The sequence below is a fragment of the Homo sapiens genome, chromosome 8 (assembly GCF_000001405.40).
Source record: "Homo sapiens chromosome 8, GRCh38.p14 Primary Assembly".
Taxonomy (NCBI): domain Eukaryota; kingdom Metazoa; phylum Chordata; class Mammalia; order Primates; family Hominidae; genus Homo; species Homo sapiens.
The window spans coordinates 73750579-73758528 of record NC_000008.11 but is presented as its reverse complement, the minus strand read 5'-3'; the positions used below and the strand labels follow the sequence as shown (position 1 = coordinate 73758528).

The 7950-nt window shown below is 42.3% G+C and overlaps 1 annotated feature.

Moving 5' to 3' along the window:
• Positions 2341–2430: a silencer, noted in NCBI's record as "silent region_19292". NCBI's record gives its function as "represses an Ori minimal core promoter by ATAC-STARR-seq in GM12878 lymphoblastoid cells {active_cell/tissue: GM12878}" and the evidence as "EXISTENCE:reporter gene assay evidence [ECO:0000049][PMID:35858748]".

The following is a 7950-nucleotide window of genomic DNA, read 5'->3' as shown; positions in this document are numbered from 1 at the left end:
ACAAAGGTGAGGCTTACTCAGCAACACTTGTACCTAAAGATCTGTGACTACCTAGAGAGGTACTTTTAAAAAAATTTTCACAAACACACTGTATAACATAGTGGTGATCTGGCCAGAGTGACTTTGGAAAAGTCAAGGGTATACTTCTTAGTGCAGTTCCAAGCAAATTAGGGAGCTAGGAGCAGAGGTCCCCAAAAGGTTAGAACAACTCTGAGAAGGTATCATAAACTCAATTCAAACTAAGCAAAGGTTGGTGGTTAAAGCTGGAGTAGAGGAGGAAAGGAAAAGAGTGGGTCAACATACAAGACTTGAGGTAGCCGTGGTTTTATTGTTCACGGATGTCTGGGACAACACTGAAGTGATGATATCCTTAGAGGAGAGGAAGAGAGTAGGCTGGGTTCAGCCCTAGGCATAGAGGCCAGCAGGTCCTAGATAGGAGAAAGTTGTATATTAGATATTTAAAAATGGTGTGTGTGTGTGATATACCTTTGTAACAGACCTGTATGTATACCCCCGATTCTAAAATAAAAGTTGAAAAGGAAAAAAGAGAGGCCGGGCACAGTGGCTCACTCCTGTAATCTCAGCACTTTGGGAGGCTGAGGTGGGTGGATCACGAGGTCAGGAGTTCGAGACCAGCCTGGCCAACATGGTGAAACCCAGTCTCTACTAAAAATACAAAAATTAGCTGGGTGTGGTGGCGGGCACCTGTAATCCCAGCTACTTGGGAGGCAGAGAGAGGAGAACTGCTTGAACCTGGGAGGTGTAGGTTGCAGTGAGCCGAGATTGCACCACTGCACTCCAGCCTGGGTGACAGAGCAAGACTCTGTCTCAAAAAAAAAAAAAAAAAAAAAAAAAAGGAAAAAAGAAATGGTATGTGGTGTGTGTGTGTGTGTGTGTGTGTTTGTGTGTGTGTGTGTGTGTTGGAGAGCAGTCAACAGGATGCAGAAAGCAACAATTCCAGGAACTTTGATGACGGGGCAGACAAGTAGATTGGCTACACACAGTGGCAGTGATACAGAGAGACTAGAGACAATATCTGAACACACCAGCAGGCTGCACTGCCACTGGCAGGCATGTTTGTTCAATGAGAAAATGAATGAAGGGCTCAGGCCTGCAGATGATGCTGGGGTAGGGCTGGGAGAGGAAGGAACAAACCCTGCTCTGGGTACTGAGCACTCTGACACTAGTAGCCTGGCCCGACCTTGTCAGACAGCCTTCCGTTGGTCCCTCCCTAGGCCATTTCCCCACTGAGATCATGGCCCACTTCCAGCTACAGCATGTCCCAGAAACAGGCCATGACTAAATGTTACATATTGCATGTTACTGCCTGGGAGTTTCCTCCAGCTTCCAACTTACTCCTTCATCTCGGCTGCTACCGCAACTACTGACTGTTTTAACTTGCCTAAAGCATCCCCCTTGACCTGGGAAGGAGAATAGACTAGAAAAGACTAGTAAGGCCTGTTCCACTTCAATCTGGTGTTTGTAATCTCTGCAGTGCAGGTGTGCCTATCTGTCTTCAGCACAAGAAAGGTGTTAAATGAATTAAGCCAGCTGAGATGATTCATGCAGAAAAGCGTAGGTACCAATGGAAGGAAATTTTCTATGTCACCTTTATATTAACATAGGAGCAATATGGTGAAAAGACAAGGTGATATGTTTCAGAGAATGTGTGGAGGTATTTTTTGTTTTTTTTGTTTTTGTTTTTTGTTTTTGTTTTTCAGACACAGTTTCACTCTGTCACCCAGGCTGGCATGCTGTGGCATGATCTCCGTGCACTGCAACCTCTGCCTCCCGGATTCAAGCGATTCTTCTGCCTCAGCCTCCTGAGTAGCTGGGATTACAGGCGTCTGCTACCACGGCCAGCTAATTTTTGTGTTATTAGTAGAGATGGGGTTTCACCATGTGGGCCAGGCTGGTCACGAACTCCTGACCTCAAATGATCCGCCTGCCTTGGCCTCCCAAGGTGCTGGGATTACAGGAAAATGTGTGGAGTTTTAAATGTGATTCTAAGATCCTCTGACGTGCCTTCCACGGAAAGAAAGGATCAGGTGCCCTCCCCTTGAATCTGGACTGTGTGATTTGACCAGTAGAATATGGGCAGAATTCAAAGCATATTTGAATTCTGGGCCACGCTTTAAGAAAGTAGTGACTTTTACTTCTGGTTTCTTGGAACCCAGCCACCATGCTGTGAGGGGGCCAAACTCAGGGTTTGTTCCTTCCTCTCTCAGCCCTACCCCAGCAACATCTGCAGGTACATAGAAAAGCCACATGTGGGTGTTCTGGTTGACAGCCCCAGCTGCGGTCCCAGTGGAAAACCATCATCAACTATAGATGAGTGAGTCCTTACATGATTTGGGCTCCCAGCCTTTGAGGTGCCCTTAGCTGATACTGCATGGGGCAGAGACAGGATACTGAGCCCTGCCTGAACTAAATAAATTGTTGCTTGAAGCTGCTACATTTTGGGGTGCCATATTACACTGCAATATGTCTCAAATTCAGAATGCTATTGACAATTAGCCAAGAAAAGAAAGAATGAGAAGCAACAATTCCAGGAACTTGGGATGAAGGGACAGATAAATATTAATAGATTGGCCACACACAATGGCAGTGATACAGAGAGACTACAGAAAATTGTTCAGATATTGTCTGTAGTTTCTCTGTATCACTGCATTGTGTGTGGCCAATCTACTTGTCTGCCCCTTTATCCTCAGTTCCTGGAATTCTGGAATTGTTCCTCTTCAATACAGGTATACATAGCTGAAATTTTTAGTTTTTTTCCTCCTTTATAATTGGCAAGAGAAAAACAATGTTTTATGAAGTTTATAATGAAGTCTTTTGGAAAAGTTATTGGAAAGGAAAGATGAAGTGATTGCTAAGATGATGTCTGTCAAAACAGTCACAATTAAGAAGTGTTTAAAGAAGTCATTGTACTTGTTTAAAAAGCAATACTTGCCATCTTTCCCTTCTCCCCTAGCCCCCTCCTCCTTCTCTTGTGTGCAGAGATGTCACAAATTTATTTCCACTGCAAGGACATTCAAATAATAACTAACAAGTTACACTTCTAGGTTTTGTTACATATATAATATATTTGTATAGTTCAAAGAAAAGTATTCGATATTTAAGGTAAACAGGGTGGAATAAAACCAGGTTCTAGAACCTTTCCCACTCCTAAAAACTAATGAAATAAAATCTTATTTTCTCCAGAAGCCCATTAGACTGGGCAAAGCTAAGCTAATAGAGGATCTGGGTACAGTTTCCCAGATTAAATATGAACAAAATAAGAATAAATTATGTTAAAATTATGCCATTATTCGGGCGGATTACAAGGTCAGGAGATCGAGACCTTCCTGGCTAACACTGTGAAACTAAAAATACAAAAAAATTAGCCGGGCGTGGTGGCAGGTGCCTGTAGTCCCAGCTACTAGGGAGGCTGAGGCAGGAGAATGGCGTGAACCTGGGAGGCGGAGCTTGCAGTGAGCCGAGATGGCGCCACTGCACTCCAGCCTGGGTGACACAGCAAGACTCCATCTCAAAATAAAAATAAAAATAAAAAAATTATGCCACTATTATAGCTAAATAAACAAATAAATGGAACACTGTATTCAAAAGATAAAGGAAGAACTCAAGTTAGAAGAAAAATACCTCATGGAACAGAAGACTATTTCTATGAAGGCTTTGCACTACAGAAAAATGTAACATATTTTTCTGATGGGTTTTCTAATGGATGCCATTTTACTCATCCTGAGTCTTGGGAGTATAATAGCTTCCTCCATCTCCACAACTCCTAGATGGAGCAGCCACCCCGCTATTGATGCTCCCCTTGTGTCTGAACCTATTTCCCAGCTCCACCAATTCTACAGTAGTGTAATCCCACATCGTGGTGTGCTGCAGTCTTTCAGGTGGGGGCAATTCTTGGGGGCTCCCCACTGTGGCTGCAATTGGTTCACTTTTATCTTGTTGGTGACCACTGGATGCACAGAGAGGATGGGAACCTCTATGGGCTTGTCCCAGTCCTCACTCTCCTCCCCACTAGAGCTCTCCATGGGGTCCCAGGATGACTTAGTCATGAAAGCCCTGACTCATTGACGTGGCAGCTGACGTCTCTTCAAACGGGCTACCTGACAAGGACATGCCAAGGTTTGTAGAATCTGTATATTCTGTTAAAAAACCTTCAACTTACAGATGATAAAACACAGATTGAGTTGAAAGGGCAGACTGTAAAGCTATCTTGTCTTGTATTTTAATTAAGAATGAAATCAAGACTTAAATGATGCCATTACAAATTTAAGGAAAAAATTAGAATCAAAATACTAGATAGACTGGCTGACAACCAAATTTCTGGCATGGTGGAAAATGCGAATATCCCCAAGAAAAAAAAATTCAGAGACAAGATGATAGTTATAGAGAAAAAAGAAAAGTCATTACAAGCATAATTGGGTCCCTATTATTTACTTATTTATTTTTTTGAGATAGGGCCTTACTCTGAGGCTGGAGCGCAGTGGCATGATCATGACTCACTGCAGCCTTCAACTCCTGGGCTCAAGAGACCCTCCCACCTCAGCCCGAGTAGCTGGAACTACAGGTGTGCACCATCATGCTCGGCAAATTTTTCTTTTTATTCTTTGTATATATTTTTAATTTAATTTTATTCTTTAGAGACAGAGTCTCGCTCTATCACCCAGGCTGGAGTGCAGTGGTACCATCACAGTTCACTGCAGCCTTGACATCCCAGGCTCAAGTGATCCTCCCACCTCAGCCTCCTGAGTAGCTGGGACTGCAGGTGCATGCCACCATGCCCAGATAATTAAAAACTTTTTGTTTTTTGTAGAGACAGGGTCTCATTATGTTGACCAGGCTGGTTTTGAACTCCTGGCCTCAAGTGATCCCCCTACCTTGGCCTCCCAAAGTGCTGGGATTACGGATATGAGCCACCACACCCAGTTCCTATTATTTGTATTCAAAAAAAATTATTTAACACCATGTGCCATAAGACTTAAAAGAGGACAGGCACTGTGGCTCACACTTTGGGAGGTCAAGACAGGAGGACCACTTGAGCTTGGGATTTCAAGACTAGCCTGGGCAACTTAGTGAGACCTCGTCTCTACTAAAAATTAAAAAAATTAGCCAGGCATGGTGGCACGTGCCTGTAGTCCCAGCTACTTGGGAGGTTGGGGAGGGAGGATCACCTGAGCCTAGGAGGTCAATACTGCAGTGAGCCATGATTGTGCCACTGGACTCCAGTCTGGGCAACAGAGCAAGACCCTGTCTCAGGGGGATAAAAAAAAAGACTTAAAAAAGAATCTTTCCATACTTCATTAAGTATATTTTTGTTTCCTTATTTTTTTTCTTATTAGTTGAGAGTTTTCTTTTTTAATTGATACATGGTATCTGTACATGTATATGGAGTACATGTAATATTTCGATACATACATACAATGTATAGTGATCAATCATGGTAATTGGGATATCCATTACCTCAGACATTTATCATTTCTTTGTATTGAGAACATTTCAGATCTTCTCTGCTAGCTATTTTAAAATGTATAATAAATTATTTTTAACTATAGCCACCCCACTGTGCTATTGAACACTAGAACTTATTCATTCTATCTAACTGTATGTTTGTACCCATTAACCAATCCCTCTTCATTTCCCCCACTCACCCTTCCCAGCCTCTGGTAACCATCATTCTACTCTTTATCTCCATGAGATCAGCTTTTTTAGCTCTCACATATGAGTGAGAACATGTGATATTTGTCTTTCTGTGTCTGGCTTATTTCACTTAGCATAATATCCTTGATTCATATATTTTGTCTTAATGGGTAGGATCTCTTTTTATAAGGCTGAATAATATTCCATTATACCCATTTATTTGTCGGTTCATCCACTGATGAACACTTAGGTTGATTCCATATCTTGGCTATTATGAATAGTGCTGCAATGAACATGGGGGTACAGATATCTCTTCGCTATACTGATTTTCTTTTCTTTGGATAAATATGCAGTAGTGGTTGCTGGGTTGTATGGCAGTTCTATTTTTAGTTGTTTGAGAAACTTCCATACAGTTTTTCATAACGGCTGTACTAATTTACATTCCCACTGTCAGTGTACAAGAGTTTCCTTTTCTCTGCATCTTGGCCAGCATTTATCTTTTGTCTTTTTGATAACAGTCATTCTAACTGGGGTAAGATGATAGCTCATTGTGGTTTTGATTTGCATTTTCCAGATGATTAGTAATTTTGAGCATTTTTTCATATACCTGCTTGTTTCTTATATATAATTGATTACCTTTTTTTTTCTTTTGAGACAGGTTCTCTCTCTGTTGCCCAGGCTAGAGTGCAGTGGTGTGATCATGGCTCACTGCAGCCTTGAGCTCCAGGGCTCAAGTGGTCCTCCCACCTCAGCCTCCCAAGTAGCAGGGACTACAGAAATGCACCACCACACTCGGCTAATTTTTTATTTTTTGTAGAGACAGGATTTGGCCATGTTGTCCAGGCTGGTCTTGAACTCCTGGCCTCAAGCGATCCTCCTGCCTCTGTCTCTCAAAATGCTGGGGTCACAGGCACAAGCCACAGCACCTAGCCCACTTTGTAAAATATATTTCTACTGTTTTTTAGCAGCGTTTTAGGTGGCTAATACCTTAATAATTATTTTGACATTATTATGAAAACAAGTTGAGTTTCAAGCAATACTTTTATTACTGAACACATAAATATATTGGGAATTTTCAAAATGTTTTTTTTTTATTTGAGACGAAGTCTCACTCTGTTGCCCAGGCTGGAGTGCAGTGGAGCTATCTCAGCTCACTGCAAACTCCGCCTCACGGGTTCAAGCGATTCTCTTGCCTCAACCTCCCAAGTAGCTGGGACTACAGGCGTGTGCCACCACGCCTGGCTAATTTTTTTGTATTTTTGGTAGAGACAGGGTTTCACCATGTTGGCCAGGACAGTCTCGATCTCTTGACCTCATGATCTGCCTGCCTCGGCCTCCTAAAGTGCTGGGATTACAGGCGTGAGCCACCGCGCCCGGCCTCAGAATGCTATTCTAATAAAGTACAGTGTTTGGAAGTGCTTATTTCATGCATTTGTTATTCATTCATTCCCCTGTAAGTTCCATGAGGACAAAGATTTTGCAGATTTTTTTCGTTGCTACACATCCCTAGGCCAAGAATAGTACTTGGCCCATAGTGGGTATTCAGTAAATGTTGGTCAAATTTGCTAATCCCTTCATTTGACAAGCATTTAGTGAGCACTGTGCTAAGTCCCAGAGAAACAAAGAAGAGAAAGTCATTGTTGTTGCCTTCAAGGAGCTTAAGATATAGTAGAAGAAACACATAAATAGTGTGTAGTGATAAAAATAAATTCAGGGCCATGCAGTGGCTCATTCCTGTAATGCCAGCACTTTGGGAGGCCGAGGAGGGCAGATAACTTGAGGCCCGGAGTTCAAGACCAGTCTGGGCAACATGGCAAAACAAACTGTCTCTACCAAAAATACAAAAATTAGCCAAGCCTGATGGCACATGCCTGTAATCCCAGCTACTCAGAAGGCTGAGGCATGAGAATCGCTTGCACCCTGCAGGCAGAGGTTGCAGTGAACCAAGATTGTACCACTGTACTCTAACCTGGGCGAGAGCAAGAACTCTGTCTCAAAAAAAGAATTTAAAAAAATTCAGATATCATCAATAAAGGAGGGTAACTTCTATGGTGGGTGCTGGGGGCTAGATGAATTTTACAGGAAAATAAATGTCAAGAAAAGGGCATCATAATATAAGATATAATATAAGAAAGAAGAGGACATAGAAGGAAACTGGAGTTTGTGATTCTGGAATCTGTCCCATTCAAACTGCTCAAATCCGATAATGGTGAATTTGAAAGCATTATCTTTTTCCTGATGCTTGAACATTTCACTGCAATGGTGACTGGTAAAAATGTGTTGATAAAACAGACGCTT